Here is an 18,580-nt window from a genome sequence, read left to right on the forward strand (position 1 = left end):
AAGCTAGCCTGCCACTTAGACAAATCACACTCTAAGTTTTAAAGTCTAATTTCAGTTTTTCTCTTACAAGAAAGTCTTTTAGAAAATTCTTTTTACATTACCTAAAGGCACACCGTGCATTACAAAAACTAATAATGCATTCATAAAAGCATTCAAAAGAAAATTACAGCTGTAGCTCCTTTCTTATCTTCCCACCCTTAGAAATGACTCTACTCTCTTACACTGCTTTCAAAAAACACTCAGATATAATTAAAAGCAGAATTGATGCTCTTTGTACATTGAAGTGATTCAGTGTATGTACCTTCAAATTGATTTTAGGTTCCAATCACACACAAAACAATTAGTCCATGTTTTTCCATTTGGTCCATGCCTAAGCAATAAAAAGCAAATTACGGCTATATTCTCCCAAGCTGCCATGATGATGAATGGGGTAATAACCATACTGTTTCCATGTCATGGGAACTCATGATAATAAGAATGAGCATTAAGTATTTATGGCAAAGATATATTATGAGCTAAGGTCCAATATACCTACAGATACTTAATAACTAAAGGAAAAGTCTACATAAATACAATCTTAGACATGTAACAACCAACGCCACTACCCAAGCAGCTTGCTCTCAAATTTCTACCAATGTGACAATTATTATGTACCCATAATAATTAAAAAACAATTTAAAGAGGCAAATCTAAGTTTCTAACAATGTACTATCATCTAAATGACCATTTCTATAATAGACCTCTGTTCTAAAGACAAGGGTACCCATATTGACACAGGTGTTTTGTTAACTATAAAGCAAGCATTATTCAAATGTAAAGGCTTGGTTAATAACTGGTTGTTATCACACCAGCTTTGTATGTTAGCATTTTATTCATTCAACCAACATCATGAACTTTGGTTTCCTCACCTGCAAAATGCAAATACCTATCTTCACTGAGTTGTTATGAAGATTTCATTATTAATGGACATGCAATAAACAGCAAGTTCCTTTGATGGCTAAGCACTGCACCGGGCCCTGGAGGCATTAAGAATGTAAAGAGATCCTGTTCTCAAGAAACTCAGAATCCCTAGGAGCACCTACAATTCTTGATAAGCTTCAACTGTTTTTTCCTGGTATCAAACAGGAAGGGAAAGTTCAAGAGAAAAGACTGAGGTGTTTCACAAAAAGCTACAAGTTTATTAACATAATGTATTCCAATATGTATCAAAGTTTCAAGCAGGTCATTTTGAACCTCAAATAAGAAATCACAATATTTAGTATTAATTAAAAAGGAAAAAAAGGTGGTAGTTGTCATTCGTGGGATTTAGTCCAAATGAAAATGTAGAAAACATTTATTTTGGTGGATCTGTGTTGATGCCATATTTCTCCTTGAGAAGCTTCAACTGTTCCTCCTTCTTCTTTGTGTCCATCTTCTGAAATGCCTGGAAATGTGGTAAGCACCAAAATTAAATTACCAATCTACAGCCAAATGAATTTCATCAATAGCATTAGCCAAAAAAGAAAGTCATAGTAGACATATATCATCACAGTACAGTTCTACACTAATTCTCTTGAGACGGAGTCTCTCTGTTGCCCAGGCTGGAGTGCAGTGGCGTGATCTTGGCTCACTGCAGGCTCCACCCCCTGGGGTTCACGCCATTCTCCTGCCTCAGCCTCCCGAGTAGCTGGGACTACAGGCGCCCGCCACCACGCCCGGCTAATTTTTTGTATTTTTAGTACAGACGGGGTTTCACCGTGTTAGCCAGGATGGTCTCGATCTCCTGACCTCGTGATCCGCCCACCTCGGCCTCCCAAAATGCTGGGATTACAGGCATGAGCCACCGCGCCCGGCCAGTTCTACACTAATTCTCAAATGAGATCACTACACAATGAGAACTTTGCTATACTTACCCTGTTGGCATTATAGTACAAAACCACAAGGTATCTGTTACAAACATTGAATCCCGATAGGTGATCACATGCATTCTTGGCATCAAAGATGTCCTCATAGACCACATAAGCTGTTCCTCTAGTTTCAGGTGTGTTCCCCCTGGAGAGGTAAGTTAAACTTAATTAAGATATACATTTACCTGAGCATTGATAGTTGACTTACAGAACTGTCTTTTAAACTGGTAACTGTCTTTTAAAAACAGTAAATTGAAATACGTTTTTAGTTAAGTATTTTGAAATCAACCTGAAACCATCAGAGGAAATAAACATGGATAGATATACCGGATAAGCCTGTAATTTCTTGAATTAGGTAATTTTGTTCTTCGTTTTTATCTTAACTAAAATATCCATAGGTCAAGCTGACTGTCACATCAGGAATACTAAGAACACAGCTACTACACAGAACAGCCTCGTGAGTTGTGGGGACTACAGGTGCTCTTGCCACCCTGACTGGCTCTACGTTGTCTTTGTTTTGTTTTGTTTTTGTTTTTGTTTTTGTTTTTTTGAGATAGACTCTCACTCTGTTGCCTAGGCTGGAGTGCAGTGGCACAATCTCAGCTCATTGCAACCTCTGCCTCTCAAGTTCAAGTGATTCTTGTGTCTCAGCCTCCCAAGTAGCTGGGACTGGAGGCATGTGCCACCATGCCCAGCTAATTTTTGTATTTTTAGTAGAGACAGGGTTTCATCATGTTCCCCAGGCTGGTCTTAAACTCCTGACTTCAAGTGATCCGCCTGCCTCAGCCTCCCAAGGTGTTGGAATTACAGGCATGAGCCACCACACCCGGTCTACATTCATTTTTAATACAACTCAAGTGCTAATGCACGATACAGCTGTGTGGCTAGGGAGAAGGGCTAGGCTTCTGCAAAGATGGGAGTGGAAGTGTGCTTGTGGATAGGGTTATCAGTGAGCCAGGGCAGAATGCTGGAAGGTGGCTGGAAGTGGAAGCTAACCTTACTTATGGATACGAGGTTGCTGTTAGTGTAGTTATTCCTGGCCACTTCCTTCCTTCACCTCACCAACTTCCTCTGGGAGAGGTAGAGAAGTTTGAGGAGCAACGCAACGCTAAATTGCAGGCAGCAGGTGGCCATGTGACTGTTAGTGGAGACAATGGGTAGAGGTCCCACTCAGTTCAGGCTCTGGGTGACAAGATGGCCCCCTTGCCTCCATCTGTGTTCCAACCACCCAGTGCAACTGTGGAATGAGGTTTAAGACTGTGGGCTGACTCTCCATCTGCCACAGTCCTTACATAGGGTTGAATAAAAGCAGTGGAGCCATGGGAAGAGGAGGTACCTGCCTAGACTTGATCTAGGATAGGACTATAGTCTGGGCCCTGTTCAAGCTTGTGCTTCCTGTAAAATTGAAAAGGAATAGGGTACTGGGGGTGATTGGAGGGTGCCACTGTCAATGAATGCGCTCACTTTGTCAGGTTGTGTGGGCCTGACGAGGGGTTTTAGAATGTTCTTTAGGCTCTGGCAAGTCTTAACAACTTTCAGACTTTTGACTTCTAAAAACTTAATAAGATTTTCAGTTCCTTAAGAGCAAAGGTGATCTTATGCGTACTTCATTTATTCCTTTAGTGCCACGCATAAGGCAGACGCTAATACGCCTTTGAAAAGTGGAGATCTACTTTCTTCTATCAGTTCTCTCACACACACTTTGTTCAGGAAGCTCAAAACAAAACTAAACAAAGCAACTCTCTTTCTTCCTCTTATATCTTCTTAGGAACTAGAATAGGGATAGACACTAACCCCACTTTAAAGACTCTCCATCTTAAGTGTCCCAGCCCTAATTATCAACCTCACACCTTGAGAGCCATATTATAATTTGAACTTTTAAAAGCATGTATCTGTACCTACCACGTATTGGACACTGAGCTAACATTATTTTCTTATTTTTTTGAGACAGAGTCAACCAATTCTTGTGCAGGTGTGCGCCACCATGCCCGACTAATTTTTGTATTTTTAGTAGAGATGGGGTTTTGCCATGTTGGCCAGGCAGGTCTCGAACTCCTGGCCTCAAGTGATCCACCCACCTCAGCCTCCCAAAGTGCTACAATTTTCTTGACTGGCATTAAAATCTTAGAGTAGGAATAAGAACACCTAAGCGTGTAACTTAGCCTCTGTGAGCTTCGGATGCTTCATGTATCCAGTGCCATCAGGCTCTATCACGTGCCCTACCTTCCACGTGGGTTTAATAATCAAAAGAGGTAACAAGTATCAAAGAGTTTTAAAAAGTACAAAGTACCAAGTGCCTGCTACATGCCAGGTAGGGTCAAACCAAATCATCCTGATTTGACTGGGACTGTCCAGGTTTTAGCACTGAAAGTCCAGTGTCCCAGAAAATCTCTCAGTACTGGGCAAACTGGGAAGGTTGGTCACCCTAGTGCCAGGTGCCAGGTATACAATAAAGCATGATCACAGTAATGGAACAGAAAAACAGCTGTTTCTCAATCTATAATTTAGACCTAAGCTCCTGTACCCTAAACTTCTATTAACCTATTCAACACATAGACTATGTTCTTTCTGCGACAGGCACTAGAAATACAATAGTGAAAAAGATAAGCATCATCCCTTCCTTCAAGCTTATATTCAGGCAGTAGAAAGACATTAAATAAATATGAAATCATTATAAATCTTTTTTTTTTCTTTTTGAGACGGAGTCGCACTCTGTCGCCCAGGCTGGAGTACAGTGGCATGATCTTGGCTCACTGCAACCTCCACCTCCCGGGTTCAAGCGGCTCTCCTGCCTCAGCCTCCTGAGTAGCTGGGATTATAGGCATGCACCACCACGCCTGGCTAAGTTTTGTATTTTTAGTAGAGACGAGGTTTCACCATGTTGGTCAGGCTGTTCTCAAACTCCTGACCTTGTGATCTGCCCACTTCAGCCTTCCAAAGTGCTGGCATTACAGGCGTGAGCCACTGCGCCCAGCCCTGAAATAATTATAAATCTTAAGAAATGTTTCGGCTTGGCACGGTGGCTCATGCTTGTAATCCCAGCACTTTGGGAAGCCGAGGTGGGAGGATCACCTGAGGTCAGGAGTTCAAGACCAGCCTGGCCAACGTGGTGAAACCCCATCTCTACTAAAAATACAAAAATTAGCCAGGCATGCTGGTGGGTGCCTGTAATCTCAGCAACTCAGGAGGCTGAGGCTGGAGAACCACTTGAACCTGGGAGGCGGAGTTTGCAGTGAGCCGAGATCGTGCCATTGCACTCCAGCCTGGGCAACAAGAGCGAAACTCCATCTTAAAAAAAGAAATGTTTCATACAAGAAGTAGAAAGCTGTAACAGATAGGGAAACAGGGAGCTACTTCAGCTAGGGTGGTCAGGGAAAACCCCTCTGAAAAGGTGACACTGAAGCTGAGACCTGAAGAATGAGGAGGAGCCAGGCATGAGATGAGCTGGTGAAAACCATTCCAGATACAAGGAAAATAGAAGCACAAAGGTTCTGAGCTGCTCTGCACTCTTCTGAAGATGCCCCTGCTTTATTCCCTGTCCTTTCATTTTGGCTTTCTGAAACATTCTCTAACTTCACTGATTTTAAGCATCCCTTAATTGAGTACTATCAATAAATTTTATAATGCCCTAGTAAACCAATCACAACCACTTTTTATATTATTCTTCTATTTTCTTTTCTTTTGTTGAAACAGGATCTCACTCTGTCGCCCAGACTGGAGTGCAGTGGCATGATCTCGGCTCACTCACTGCAGCCTCAGCCTCCCAGGTTCAAGCGATTCTCCCACTTGAGCCTCCTGAGTAATTGCATTACAGGCGCGTGCCACCATGCCCAGCTAATTTTTGTATTTTTTTTTAGAGAGGGGGTTTCACCATTTGGCCAGGGTGGTCTCGAACTCCTAACCTCTGGTGATCTGCCTGTCTCGGCCTCCCAAAGTGCCGGGATTACAGGTGTGAGCCACCACATCTGGCCTATTCTACTATTTTCTATATTATTCATTTAGTATACATCGGGTGCTTACCATGTATCGCACAAGTGCTATCAACACAAAAACAAAAATAATATATGGTACGAGCCCTGGAGGAACTCACAACCTGCCCAGGGTGACAGATGAATATAGAGACAACAGCAAAACCATGTGTTAACCTAGGAGAGACACATGGAAATGCTATGGGAGCAGAAGAGTGGCTAATGTACACTGGGAAGGAAAACTGATAAAGTACCTTCACAGACACTGTGTAATTTCATCCAAATTAAAATTCTTTTAAGACAGTAGGTTAGGAAGACTGTATTTCATAGATAATTGAAACCCAGATAAGGTTAAATATTTTCTCCAGTTTCGTAAGAGTAGGCAAGCCAGTATTTGAACCCAGGCCTTACAACCAATCTATGCTGTTTCCACATTAAAAGCTAAAAGGCCACCACCCAGATTATCTCATACATGAAGAGAAAACCAAAAAAGCTAGGCAACTAGTCACACACATGGCTAGTAACAAGGCCTGAAGTAGAATCTTGTCTCCTGATCCCCAAGGCAGGGATTCGCCATGTTGGCCAGGCAGGTCTTGAACTCCTGGCCTTGTATACCATTCTGTATCTAGAGCAGGGTTTCTTGACCTAGAGTCCATGTATCCCCTGAAATATATGCAACATGAGTGTATTCTTCTGTGGAAGGAGTCTAAAGCTTTTATCAGATGCTCAAAGGACTGAGACCTCCTAAAAAGGACAGCTGGTCTATAACACTTTCACTTTCATCCCCATCTGAGTACCAATGATCATGTATTTCCAGCTCTTGGTTTACTCTCTGGAGGGACAGTGTCATTCAAAAGGAGGGTCCTCAAGACCTCATAGTCCTAAAGCCAGGAAGGAGCTCTCAAGTCATACAAGACGGAATTCCGACTAGAAATAAAAACTTTATACGTAGTCATTACTGTGGTAAAATAATAATTTTTTTAAAATAAAAACTTTAGAAATCCTTTCAGATGGACTCTTAAGTCACTAGCCCTTTCATATGAGTTCGGGTGTCAGAGGCTATGGTACTGTGTAATGTAGAGGTTCAATTTAGAGTCAGAAGATTTTACCACTAAGCACTGTAAGATAGAAAGGTACTTTACTCTCAGGGCTATAGTTTTGTTGATCCAAATAAAAGCACTTATTATGGTTAATGGTATTCAGTAGATGTCCAGTAAATATCACTTGAAGGTATGAACCCCAATCTTTATATTAAATTAAAACGTGAATGCTTGTAATTAGATGTTTTCCTCTATACTTTTACATCTTCAATTGAAAGAGCTGTAGTTGAAAATATCATTTTTTTCTGTTACTTTTATACTCTTTTACTTAGTTTATTCAGAAATTCTGGGGTTATTTAAAGAGACAGTGATGATTGTTGAGAAAATTATAGAGCTGCTGCATACAAAAAACACAGTGTAACAAGCTAGCTTTACAAATAACAGGTATGCAATAAATGTTAGTTCTTTCCCTTCTCAACCAGTTTCCTCAAAGCATTCATTACTACTTCAATGAATGCTTTGAGGAAACTCAAATCCTCTTCTTGGCTCTCATTGAGCTGGATCATTAGGGTCTCAGTAGGTTTTCTCCCCCCTTCAAAAAGATCTCATCTCTCTGATCTCAATCTGCTAGTCTCAAGGCTCTTGGTAAGGGTTGTCGCACTGCACACAGCACAGGGTGGCCTCATCGTCAGCTATAATTCTGAAATTACAGATTATGCTATCATTTTCTTTAAATGACTCAGTAAGACTCACACTCTGATTTGACGAATAGGTCCATATTTCCCAAATATATCATACATTTCTTCAGCTGTGATTTTGTATGGCAAATTTCTTATATACAATATCCGATTTACTTCAGGTGGAAGTCGAATCTAAAATGAGAAATACGTATTGTTATTATAATTAGGGGCATTCTAAAAAATTATAATTTAAATGCCCCTATAATTAGGGGCATTTTAAAAAATTCTTAATGATACGTAATAATAAAAAGCCAAGAATAAGAGGTATAATTTGATGTTTCTGAAAATGGGCAGATCTTTGAAAAAGCAACAGAGGCTGGGTGCAGTGGCTGGTCCCTATAATCCCAGCACTTTGGGAGGCAAAGTGGGAGGATCACTTGAGCCCAGGAGTTTGAGACCAGCCTGGACAACATAGTGAGACCCCCATCTCTACAAAAATTTTAAAAAATTAGCCAGGCATGGTGGTGGGTGTAGGCCTTTGCAAACCTTACCACCATCACTCCTGCTAACACCTGAGTTGGGCTGTACCCTCTTCCCTGCCCATCCCAGGAGATGACCCTGATTCTTGTTTCTTGGAGAAAATAGACATGACCAATTGAAATACTTTTCATCTATATCCAACTACTTTCCCTCTATTACTACGCCAACCTTCATCTACTCAAAACCTTCACTTCTAAACTCAACCTATCTTTCTTCCATATCATGTTTCGCACACTCTGCTGGATTGCTCCCATTGGCATAAAGATACACCTATATCACACATCTTTTAAAAAGTCAACTATCTGGCCGGGTGCGGTGGCTCATGCCTGTAATCCCAGCGTTTTGGGAGGCCAAGGCAGGTGGATCACTTGAGGTCAGGAGTTTGAGACCAGCCTGGCCAACACGGAGAAACCCTGTCTCTACTAAAAATACAAAAATTAGCCGGGCATGGTGGTGGGCACCTGTAATCCCAGCTACTCAAGAGGCTGAGGCAGGAGAATTGCTTGAACTCAGGAGACAGAGGTTGCAGTGAGCCAAGACTGTGCCACTGCACTCCAGCCTGGGTGACAGAGTGAGAGTCCATCTCAAAAAAAAAAGTCAACTATCATCCAATTTCCCTACTTCCTATTTAAATGAGAACTCATGGACAGAGTGTCTTTGCTGTTTCCATTTTCTCAACTTCCACCATCTTTTCACCCCACTGCAATCAAGTTTTCATCCACTGAAATGATTCCTATCATCAAGGTCACCAAAAGTCTCCATTTACATATACAATGGTCAATTGCTTGTCTTTTCTTTCTTTCTTTCTTTCTTTCTGTTTTTTTTTTTTTTTTTGAGTCAGGGTCTTGCTCTGTCTCCTGGGCTGAAGTGCTGCGCAGTGGCACAATCATGGCTCAAGGCAGCCTTGAATTCCTGGGCTCAAGCAATCCTCCCACCTCAGCCTCCAAAAGTGCGGGGATTACAGGCATGAGCCACCTCACTCGGCCTAACTTCATCTTACACCTCTAAGCGTTTTACTGTTGACTAATCTCTTTTTTGAGTTTTTTTTTTTTAAAAGTTTCCGTAACACTGTACTCTCAAACACTAGAATGTAAGCAGAAGGACTTGTTTTATTCACTGCTGTATTCCCAATACGTAAGACTAGTGTCTGGCACATAGTAGCTATTCAATAAATATAATTGATGAATTATGTCCCACATGGCAAGCAGAATACATAGTAGGTGCTCAAAAAATATTGTTTTAATTAATGTGTTAATGAAGGATCCGAAAAGCACCATGATCTGAGGGGAATCCCAGGTCCTAGTTGTTGGTGAACCATTAAGTTAGTTGAGGACTCTTCTGAGATATCGACTTTAAGTCAAGGAGATAATCCTAACGCCAGGTCCTTAGGTGCGGGTCAAGCAAAGAGGCTATAGGGGTAACACTATCACTGACACTAGGGTAGAGACTGAGGAACTCTCAAAAGGGGTGGGGACAGAAATGTGGCTCAAGGAGCATATCTCTGAGGATGGGGCCGGATAGTGTCTTCGCTGACAGGATAGGAATTCTGGAGTTCTCCGCTCTGGGGACGGAGGAGGAGCAAGAATGCTCCGATCCACGCCGCTAAGAAAGTCAAACCCGAAGTTCTCCCACCCTCCGCAGAACACCCGATACTCACGTTCGCCCTCTTGGCCGCTTGCATCGCCATCTTGGCGGGCTGATGAAGTTACCGTAGCAGATACTGAAATTCCTCCGGAGCTCGCTCGGCTTCGGGGGTTACACCGCGTTAGATGCAGGACATCAACATCCAGGACCCGCCGGAAGCTGTTACAGCGGAATAGCGCCGTCTTACGCTGAGACGCGCTGACGTAGCAGCCCCCTTCGAATAGACTCCGGGGTAAAACCGAGCCTGAGCGAGACTCGAGGCCGGAAGATGGAAAGGCGAGAGTCCAAGACACTTCCGGGCTCTGTACCGTAAAGGGCGGGGCGTAGCCTCCAAAAGGCGAGATGTTCCGGTCGGGGAGGCCCTGAGCAGAGGAACCCGGGTGGAGAGGGCGGGGCCTGAGGAGGGCGGAGAGCTGGGGCGGGTCTCAGGTGAGTAACTGGGGAGCGGAGGAGGCGGGGCTTGAGCAGGGTTATGACAGGTAGGGCGGGACCCAGGTGAGTAGCGGGAGGGGGCGGGGCCTGAGGAGGGTGCGGAGAGCTGGGGTGGGGCCCAAGTGAGTATCCGGGAGGGAGCCGGGCCTGAGCAAGGCGGTGAGCTGGGGCGGGACCCAAGTGAGTAATGGAAGGGGCGGGGCCTGAGGAGGGTGGTGGCGGTGGGGCGGGGCCCAGATGTGTAGCGGGAGGTGGTGGGGCCTGAGGAGGGTGGCGAGAGGTGGGGTGGGGCCCAGGTGAGTAGCGGGCGAAGGCGGGGCCTGAGGAGGACTGAGCTGGGGCGGGACCCAGGTGAGTAGCGGAAGGGATCGGGGCCTGAGGAGGGTGGTGGAGGTGCGGCGGGGCCCAGAAGTGTAGCAGGAGGTGGTTGGGGCTGAGGAAAGTGGTGGAGGTGGGGCGGGGCTCAGATGTGTAGCGGGAGGTGGTGGGGCCTGAGGAGGGCGGCGAGAGGTGGGGTGGGGCCCAGGTGAGTAGCGGGCAGGGCTGGGGCCTGCTGTGGTGCCCACTGGTTGCGGGGCGCGCGGGCAGGTGCCGGAGGTGGTGGGCCTGGGCCTCTAGCTGTGCGCAAGGCGGAATATGTGGGGTTCTGGCGGCTTGTGTCACGGCTGACGCTGTAACTATACCCAGAATCTCCGTCCCTGGAGGGGCCCTCAGGTTGAGCGTCAGCTGATCGGGCCTCAGTAATCCCCGCTGCGACGCCCGTCCGGACTCCCACCTCAACCCCGCCGCGGCGGCCCCAGTCCGCGTGCCACCCTTCCAGTTCACTCTTTATTTCCTCATATCAGCTTTAAACGGCTCTGGAGGAAGCACCGGGTTTCTTGGCCTGTCTATTGTGAATCTTCTCCAGGTTTGCTCTGGAAAGGCCTGGGGTGGCCGCGTCCTGTCCTGCCCCATCCTCCTTCACTGGGGCAGTTCCAGGACGATCTTGCCTATGTTCTTGTTGGCCTCCATGTACTTATGGGCCTCCTGGATTTCGGTCACTGGGTAGATTCTGTCCAGAACCGGCAGCAGACGTTGGGGGCCCTCCGTGGAGAAGTGAGGCAGAATTTGCTCCGTGAAAGCATTCACCAGCATTTGCTTGTACTAAGACAAGGGAAAGGAGATCATCAGCCTGGGGAGAGAGCCTCACCCTGCCCTCCTCATCCTCCTCAGCCTTCTTGCTCTCTCTGAAGCCACGTATCTGAAAAAGCACACAGGGACACTTAACCCCTCACTTCCTAGCATGTGTGTGAAATACCCTTGAAGGAGTCATGTGCCATCTCAGAATATGTCCGATAGGTATATTGTTAATTTTGAGGTGAAAGCATTGGAGAAATTGTAGTTTCAGAAAAGGCTAGCTGACCTGTCTCTTCTTGCATGTAGCAAGTCATAAAGATTCCTCTGAGAGGGGTACCCTCCCCATACTAGGGCAAAAAGCCCTTATCACCAGAGACTGGAAACGGGGCTGCAATGGAACTGAATAAATACACTTAAGGAAGTAACCCTTATCTTCCACTAGTTTTACACCCCCCACCCCCATATATCTCCTAGTGACTTCCCTAGAAATTTACTATCCCTAGCCAGATTTTGTCTTATTTCTTCTCAAATTTATTGTTCTTTGTCTAAAAATTACAAAAGCATCTTACTTTGGCCGAATCACTTGAGCCTGGGAGTTTGAGATCAGCCTGGGCAACATGGTGAAAACCTGTCTCTATAAAAAATACAAGCCAGGCATGGTGGTATGCCTTCAGTCTTAGCTACCCAGGAGGCTGATTGTGCCATTGCACTCCAGCCTGGGTGACAGAGTAAGACCCTGTCTCCATAAAAAAAAAAAAAAAAAAAAAAAGTACATGCTTTTCTCCTGTCAATCTGCTGGTATCAATTTGGTTTCTAGAGCCAGCTGAAGAGACCACATAGGAGCTAAAGGGGGGTTACAGGTGATCTCTGGCTCCCTTGTACCTCCAAATGTGTAACTTCTGTTCTGTACCAGATAAAGACTGAAGCCTGGAGTAAAATGTTAGTGTCACTGACAGCCTAAGAATTGTTTTTAAATAAAGTGTCTTTACCCAGGAGGCAGCCACAGATAGGACTCATATAGGCTTAGTGAAAAAAGGATGCTTAAGCTCTCCTGTCCCTCAGCTGGTGCAAAACCCTATGGTGGAAACATTCCCAAAGGTGGTACCTGCTAGACTGCCAGATGGAATATTTCAGGAGCATATAATCTTTTTTTTTTTGAGATGAGGTTTTGCTATGTTGCTCAGGCTGGGGTACAGTGGCTATGCACAGGTGCAATCATAGCTCACTGCAGCCTTGAAACTCCTGGACTCAAGCAATCCTCTGCCTCAGCCTTCCAAGTAGCTGGGACTACAAGCAAGTGCCACTGTGCCCGGCATGGAACCTATAATCTGTTGAAGGCCAAGGCTTACTTATTTTTTTACTCACCTAAGAGACTTTCTAGCACACTGAGATGAATTCTGCCTTTGAAAACAAAGTCTTGGAACTACTCGAAATACTTCCTAATATAGTCAGTGCTTTCTTCATTCTGTTAGAATGTTCAGATAACCTGTGAAGTATCAGCTACACTTCTTTTCATGATACTGAAGCTTCTATCAACCAATCTGAATCAGTTCTCTGAAATCGGGTTCCCTCTTTATCTTCAGAGGGGGAGGTTTCTTCATAGAAACTAACCTCCGTAATCTAAGGTAGAGCTTCCTTTCTCGGGGTAATGTAAATGAACCACACTTTTCTGGGTTAAATCACATGTTTTCTTTTCATTCATCACTCACCTTATTGTCCCTAGACCTCAGCAAACTGGTGATCAGACTTCCTCGCTTAAAAAGTAGCTTTGAAAACAGGGGCCCATTGATGTCACCTCCTCCCATCAGACCATAGAGAACCCATCGACCATCAAGAGCCAGGCAGTTGACGTTCTTCTCCCAGTAGGATCCGCCTATGCAGTCTAGAATAAGATTAACTCCAGCACCTTCCATAGGAAACAGATTTGTGATGCTAGTCAGCTTGGTGCTAAATAAGATACCATGGTATATTTGGGGATTATGGATATAAATACAGATGCAAGTGGTAAATCTATAGGTTGGAATTAGAAACACTGCTTGAAGAACTGTTGTAAATGGAGTTTAGATAGCAGAACTCTATGATAGCATGTATGAAGTTCACCATTTATGAGGCCTAGCTACAGCAAGAGGGAAATGGGGCACCATGACCTAGCGTCTCCTGTCATGCCAAAATAAGTACAGTCCCACTGACACCCAGGCACGATTGAGAACAGAATACAGGAGGCCCAACCTAGGCTAGTTGTTCACATAGAAGTTAGGAAGTGTCCGCACTAGGTTATTGGAATCATAGGCTTTCTAGCTTTGGTTTCATCTCTCCTTTTCTACTCACATAAAAAATGGAGGCCAGGCATGGTGGCTCATGCCTGTAATCCCAGTACTTTGGGAGGCTGAGGCAGGTGGATCACCTGAGGTCAGGAGTTCGAGACCAGCCTGGCCAACATAGTGAAAGCCCGTCTCTACTAAAAATACAAAAATTAGCTGGGCGTGGTGGTGCGCCTGTGATCTCAGCTACTCAGGAGGCTAAGGCTGGAGAATCACTTGAACCTGGGAGGCGGAGGTTGCAGCGAGCCGAGATCAAGCCACTGCACGCCATCCTCAGTGACAGAGTGAGACTCCATCTCAAAAAAAAAAAAGAAAGAGAAACGGAAAGGGATGAGCCAAAAATAGACACGTCTGGCTTTGGAATACAGAGGTGTGCACATCTACTTACTCATTTAGGGTGCTACCACCCAACCCTACCATGGCTGGCTCCAAACTGGTCTCTGCCTCCAAGCCTCCTGTTAACTAAGTGTGGAATGGCTGGTTGGGAAGAAAAGGTGCTGGATAATTCCAGACCAAGTCTGCATGGTCTAAAGTGTGGATGAATCTTATCTCTTGCAAGAATGCACATGGAAACCATCTTAGATTTAAATATGACTGCCTGTCTCCAGTGGTCAAATACCATAGTACTAGAATTTGGCCAGGGCAGCTGTTGTGCACTTAGCAGAGGTAAGACTGATACACAGCACTGGCAACTTTGAGACTGGTGGGGCTTTTATTTAATCATCTCTTAAATTCCTGCTGAACTGTAGAAGCAGTTGTTTACCTTTGGTGAATTTCAGCGTTGCTTCAGAGAAATCCTCTTTTTTGTAATTGAATCCAGCAGCTGCTCCAAGCTTTTCTGCCATTTGAAGCTTCTTCTGGGAGCCAGCTGTGACCAGAGGAATAGCTCCAGCCATCCGGGTGAGTTGGATAGCAGCTGTGCCCACACCACTCAGTCCTGCATGGATTAGCACATAGTCTCCAGCCTGAACATTTCCTGTGACAGAAAGTACAGGGTTCTCTTTACTTTGCAACTGCTACACATTCCCCACACAGGCATATTCTATCAAGATCACCTGGCCGTTGCACCAAATGCCAAATCAATCTTTTGCTTTTCCTTTTTTATTTGGTGGGGTGGGGGTGGGCTGGTGGGGGTGGGACGCTGTGACTCAAATACAAACCATCTTGTTCTTTGGAGAAAGAAAAAGAGCATATTGACGACCTTTTCTGTCTTATTGCCTCTGGCTAAAGTGGAAAACAGCCTTTTGAAACAGGGCTATAAGCAGCCACATCCATAATCTCTATTTTACCTATAACACCAAAATGCACATCTCTGACCTACACCTGAATAAGTAAGAACAACTACCATTCCCATGGTCACCACCGAAAGCCAGTCCTTCTAGAGTCTGAAACTGGCCTCCAGCTGGTCTTCCTGATCCAGGCAACACACAGCCACCAGGCTCCTCTTCCTAAGATGGCACTTGCATTATGTTACTTCCTCCTCAAAATGTAAAGTGCTTCTCCATTGGCTTTTGCATTGAGTCCAGACAGCTTGATATTCAAGGACACCATGATCTGGCTCCAGCCTCATTTTTCACAAATCACAATAGTCATCCTTCACTACTGAGTGCAGTGGCTGGTCTCACCTTGATACTGTTTTTTTTTTTTTTTTGAGACGGAGTCTCACTCTGTCACCCAGGCTGGAGTGCAGTGGCGCAATCTTGGCTCACTGCAAGCTCTGCCCCACCCCCCCTGCGTTCATGCCATTCTCTTGCCTCAGCTTCCTGAGTAGCTGGGACTACAGGTGCCCACCACCACGCCCAGCTAATTTTTTGTATTTTTAGTAGAGATGAAGTTTCACCGTGTTAGCCAGGATGGTCTCGATCTCCTGACCTCATGATCCACCCACCTCAGCCGCCCAAAGTGCTGGGATTACAGGCGTGAGCCACCACGCCCAGCCTACTCTTTCTTTTTCTTTGAGACAGAGTCTCACTCTACTGCCCAGGCTGGAGTGCAGTGGCATGATCATGGCTCACTGCAGCCTTGACCTTCCTGGGCTCAGGTGATCCTCCCAACTCAGCCTCCTGAGTAACTGAGACAACAGGCATGCACCATCATGCCTGGTTAATTTTTGTATTTTTTGTAGAAACAGGGTTTCGCCATGTTGCCCAGGCTGATCTTGAACTCCTGGGCTCGTGATCTGTCTTCCAAAGTGCTACGATTATAGGTGTGAGCCACCTTGCCTGGCTGATACTCTTTCTTAGGCCACCTTGGCATGCCTTATGTCCTTCACAAGTCTACCCACCCTTCAAAGCCTTCCAAAAAGCCTTCTGACTACCCTTGTCCACACCATCTTTACTCATCTCCAGCTTCTATCATAGACAGGGCTATCCTTCTAAACTCTATGGTCATCTGATCTTATGCATATGTTGCCTTCTCAGTTACACTGCACTGTCTAAAGGCAAGGACCAAGTCTTCTTAGATTCCCTTATGTGAGTTCTTGACTGGCCTCTGTGGGATTGAGGAGGAATAAATGAGTCAATTGGTCCCTTCTGTTGCACTGGGACCCCAGAGAGAAGCTCAGTATGATTCTAAGAAGCTGGGACTTCTGCTGGGCGTCCGGTGTTAACATGTACATAGGCCTCCTATCTAGTGTTATCCAGACCCTCTATCTGCTAACCATGATTCTCAGCCTCAACATTAAACCCTTCTAACATGGTTTGAGGACCTGACAATACAGGTGATACAGGAAGGCCTGGGAGTGCCCTGGGGGATTGCTGGGATTCAAGTTGGCTGATTTATGAAGGTGTTGAGCCACATTGTGTGGAGTGAGCATGGAGGCCTCCTCACCCACAAGATGTAACAGCTGGAAGGCGGTGAGCCAGGCCTCTGGGATGGCTGCAGCCTGGGTCAGGGTCAATCCCTCTGGGATAGGCATGAGGAGCCCTTCGGGGACAGTGACGTACTGAGCCTGGCCCCCACCGGGGAGCAGAGCCATGGCTGTGTCCCCGATCTTCCAGTGTCCCTGGCAGCCAGGCCCCAGCTCTGCCACATGTCCAGATGCCTCAAGTCCCAAAATGTTGCTGGCTCCTGGAGGTGGGTCATACTGGCCTTGTCTCTGCAGAGAAAGAAGTGCACTAAGTGGTGAGCATGATCAGAAATCTGTATGTCACTACCCCTGGCCCCCCTTCCAAGATCCCCTCTTTTTTTTTTCAAAAATAAATTTCAGAATGAAGTCAGGTTTTTGTAAGTAAGGAGAAGAAAAAGGAGAGGCCATTAGTTTTATGCAAATAAACTGGAGGTCACATGATCAGTGGATGTTATAACTGGTAGAGTCCTTAGCTATTTACCTCATCTGAACCCCTTGCTTTACAGATGGAGAAACTGAGTCCCAGACGGGAAATAATAGTAGTGGGATTAGGAACCTTGACGATGGTTCCCATGCATCAAGCGCTAGGCTCTGTGCTCACTCACCCCAGTCCTCAGAAGCTGTAGAGCAGAGGGACTTAACCAGGAGTGTGTGGCAGAACCACCTGAGGAGTATTTCAAAGTACACGTGCCTGGGCCCCCATCACGTTTCTTTTGTGCCCCGGGGGATTCTGATGCACATTTCTGAATGACCCCAACCAATGCAGCTGGCCCAGGTCAGTAAATCAGCATCAGACAGAAGAAAATTCTTAAGAGTACTGCCCGCTGTCAGCTCCGGGACTCTCAGAGTGGAAAGAGTTAAGAGGTCTTTGGAGCCACAAAGACCTCAGCTTGAATCCCAGCTCTTCTGATTGCTAGTGTCACGGCCTTGGGCGTACTGCTTAACCTCACTGAACTTCAGTTTCCTTATCTGTAGAATTAAGATGGCGAACAGGGTAGCCTGGGGAGTAAGTGTGCCCACACCCCACAACAATGTTAGTTCCGCCCTCATCTGGAGGCCTGAGTGGCTATGGATTAGCTCGGGGTGGATTCTGCTTTACAAGTACTCCCCCTTGTTTTGCATGAACAAAGAGGGCGCCCTGGGTTTAGGTCTGGGAAGCCCCAGCGCAGCTGCCTGCTGGGTGTGGAGCGGTGCACGCCTTCACGTCTGGTCAATGTCCACTGAGTGCTGTTGAGAGGGAGGCTCTGGAGTCCCGCCCGCCCCGGCGCGGCTGAGCCCTGGGTACCTGCATTAAGTCCGCCCGGTTCAGGGCGCTGGCCGCCACCTTCAGGAGGACTTCACCCTCCCCCGGGCTCGGCTTGGCCACCTCCTTCACGTAGAGGTTTTCCGGTCCTCCCGGCTTGTCAAAGTGCACGGCTAACATATTGTCTGAGGACACAGGGCAGGGCAGGGCAGGACAGGACAGGGCAGGGCAGGGCAGGACAGGACAGGGCAGGGCAGGACAGGACAGGGCAGGGGCCGCTGTATCCTCGCGGAGCAGCCCAGCCTCAGGCTGGCACCGCAGCGCCCCCTGCCGGCCAGCGCCTCGCTGCCCTGGTCTGCCGCGGACCCGGCCTCCGCCCCGAGCTCCTGCCTGGGAAGTCCTCGGCCGCCTCCAGACCGATCCCACCCGGAACACAGATGGGAACGGCGGGAAGTGGGATGGCGGTACAGGGCTGGATGCGGCAGAGCAGGACAACGCCGAAGAGGATCAGGCAAATCACACTCCCTCTGAGTTGGAAGCCCCCAGCCCGACCCGGGTCCCCGGCGCCCGTATGAGTTACTTACTCCTGGCCCGGCTCCCCTCCCATGCACCAGGCGGCGCCGAGTGGTTCTGGCTCCTGCGGGTCCCGGTGACAAAGCCCGAGCCCCAGAGCCCCAGGACTGCCTCTGCCTCCACCGGAATGGACGGCTGGACCTGGGGTAGCCGGAGGGGTGGGGCTAAGCAGAACCACCCTCCCCCTCTTTCCTTTCCTCCTTCCCCCTTTAAAACGCAAAGTTAGAAGCAAGCAAATCAGATTTTCTTGTCCTTTTAGCCTCTGGAAAAGAGTCTTTCTCTCAGCTTG

General features: G+C 46.6%; 3 protein-coding genes across 8 annotated transcripts in view, besides 9 other annotated features; 1 reads left to right on the forward strand and 2 right to left on the reverse strand.

Annotated features, from left to right (window-relative positions):
* Positions 1-1,157: 1,157 nt before the first annotated feature.
* SF3B6 (splicing factor 3b subunit 6) lies at positions 1,158-9,898 on the reverse strand. Its single transcript, NM_016047.4, has 4 exons — positions 9,772-9,898; positions 7,648-7,766; positions 1,893-2,031; positions 1,158-1,423 (listed from the first exon to the last, which is right to left on the reverse strand). The coding sequence occupies exons 1-4, from the start codon at positions 9,799-9,801 to the stop codon at positions 1,334-1,336; spliced, it is 378 nt and encodes a 125-aa protein (NP_057131.1). The 5' UTR covers positions 9,802-9,898; the 3' UTR covers positions 1,158-1,333.
* Positions 9,184-9,716: an enhancer, noted in NCBI's record as "H3K27ac hESC enhancer chr2:24298482-24299014 (GRCh37/hg19 assembly coordinates)". NCBI's record gives its function as "activates a minimal SCP1, AML or CMV promoter by ChIP-STARR-seq in primed H9 embryonic stem cells {active_cell/tissue: H9 hESC(primed)}" and the evidence as "EXISTENCE:reporter gene assay evidence [ECO:0000049][PMID:30033119]".
* Positions 9,717-10,248: an enhancer, noted in NCBI's record as "H3K27ac hESC enhancer chr2:24299015-24299546 (GRCh37/hg19 assembly coordinates)". NCBI's record gives its function as "activates a minimal SCP1, AML or CMV promoter by ChIP-STARR-seq in primed H9 embryonic stem cells {active_cell/tissue: H9 hESC(primed)}" and the evidence as "EXISTENCE:reporter gene assay evidence [ECO:0000049][PMID:30033119]".
* Positions 9,717-10,772: a biological region, named in NCBI's record as "H3K27ac hESC enhancer GRCh37_chr2:24299015-24299546".
* Positions 9,783-10,012: an enhancer, noted in NCBI's record as "active region_15423". NCBI's record gives its function as "activates an Ori minimal core promoter by ATAC-STARR-seq in GM12878 lymphoblastoid cells {active_cell/tissue: GM12878}" and the evidence as "EXISTENCE:reporter gene assay evidence [ECO:0000049][PMID:35858748]".
* Positions 10,123-10,772: a silencer, noted in NCBI's record as "silent region_11226". NCBI's record gives its function as "represses an Ori minimal core promoter by ATAC-STARR-seq in GM12878 lymphoblastoid cells {active_cell/tissue: GM12878}" and the evidence as "EXISTENCE:reporter gene assay evidence [ECO:0000049][PMID:35858748]".
* Positions 10,405-18,580, forward strand: part of FAM228B (family with sequence similarity 228 member B) — a 92,806-nt gene continuing 84,630 nt past the window's right edge. Inside the window, exons 1-2 of one of the 2 annotated variants that reach the window (NR_111929.2) lie at positions 10,405-10,541; positions 14,451-14,527. The gene's annotated coding sequence lies outside the window, so the exon portion shown is untranslated. Of the gene's footprint in view, positions 10,542-14,447; positions 14,528-18,580 lie in introns of both variants that reach the window. The other variant, NM_001291328.2, reaches the window with a different exon arrangement.
* TP53I3 (tumor protein p53 inducible protein 3) lies at positions 11,005-18,406 on the reverse strand. 5 transcript variants are annotated; one of them, NM_147184.4, is made up of 6 exons: positions 18,303-18,406; positions 17,761-17,903; positions 16,457-16,724; positions 14,391-14,603; positions 13,016-13,212; positions 11,005-11,333 (listed from the first exon to the last, which is right to left on the reverse strand). In NM_147184.4, exons 2-6 carry the CDS (start codon positions 17,896-17,898, stop codon positions 11,151-11,153), a joined length of 999 nt encoding a protein of 332 aa, NP_671713.1. In that variant the 5' UTR covers positions 17,899-17,903; positions 18,303-18,406; the 3' UTR covers positions 11,005-11,150. The 5 variants fall into 5 exon arrangements, with proteins under 5 accessions (NP_671713.1, XP_006712213.1, NP_004872.2 ...); XM_006712150.3 differs by lacking the exon at positions 13,016-13,212; NM_004881.5 differs by having other exon boundaries at positions 17,761-18,406.
* Positions 16,118-17,048: an enhancer, noted in NCBI's record as "H3K27ac-H3K4me1 hESC enhancer chr2:24305416-24306346 (GRCh37/hg19 assembly coordinates)". NCBI's record gives its function as "activates a minimal SCP1, AML or CMV promoter by ChIP-STARR-seq in naive H9 embryonic stem cells {active_cell/tissue: H9 hESC(naive)}" and the evidence as "EXISTENCE:reporter gene assay evidence [ECO:0000049][PMID:30033119]".
* Positions 17,644-17,743: an enhancer, noted in NCBI's record as "active region_15424". NCBI's record gives its function as "activates an Ori minimal core promoter by ATAC-STARR-seq in GM12878 lymphoblastoid cells {active_cell/tissue: GM12878}" and the evidence as "EXISTENCE:reporter gene assay evidence [ECO:0000049][PMID:35858748]".
* Positions 17,894-17,943: an enhancer, noted in NCBI's record as "active region_15425". NCBI's record gives its function as "activates an Ori minimal core promoter by ATAC-STARR-seq in GM12878 lymphoblastoid cells {active_cell/tissue: GM12878}" and the evidence as "EXISTENCE:reporter gene assay evidence [ECO:0000049][PMID:35858748]".
* Positions 17,954-18,133: a silencer, noted in NCBI's record as "silent region_11227". NCBI's record gives its function as "represses an Ori minimal core promoter by ATAC-STARR-seq in GM12878 lymphoblastoid cells {active_cell/tissue: GM12878}" and the evidence as "EXISTENCE:reporter gene assay evidence [ECO:0000049][PMID:35858748]".

Source organism: Homo sapiens, chromosome 2 (genome assembly GCF_000001405.40).
Source record: "Homo sapiens chromosome 2, GRCh38.p14 Primary Assembly".
Taxonomy (NCBI): domain Eukaryota; kingdom Metazoa; phylum Chordata; class Mammalia; order Primates; family Hominidae; genus Homo; species Homo sapiens.

Excerpts from the sequence above, each read along its gene's own strand:
- SF3B6 (NM_016047.4), bottom strand. The coding sequence starts at position 9,801 with ATGGCGATGCAAGCGGCCAAGAGGGCGAAC. Across the intron at positions 7,767-9,771 it reads AAGCGGCCAAGAGGGCGAAC|ATTCGACTTCCACCTGAAGT; the intron begins GTGAGTATCGGG and ends TTCTCATTTTAG. Across the intron at positions 1,424-1,892 it reads TGTACTATAATGCCAACAGG|GCATTTCAGAAGATGGACAC; the intron begins GTAAGTATAGCA and ends CCACATTTCCAG.
- TP53I3 (NM_147184.4), bottom strand. The coding sequence starts at position 17,898 with ATGTTAGCCGTGCACTTTGACAAGCCGGGAGGACCGGAAAACCTCTAC. Across the intron at positions 13,213-14,390 it reads AACGCTGAAATTCACCAAAG|GTGCTGGAGTTAATCTTATT; the intron begins GTAAACAACTGC and ends TTCCTATGGAAG. Across the intron at positions 11,334-13,015 it reads TGAGGTCTAGGGACAATAAG|TACAAGCAAATGCTGGTGAA; the intron begins GTGAGTGATGAA and ends CCCTTGTCTTAG.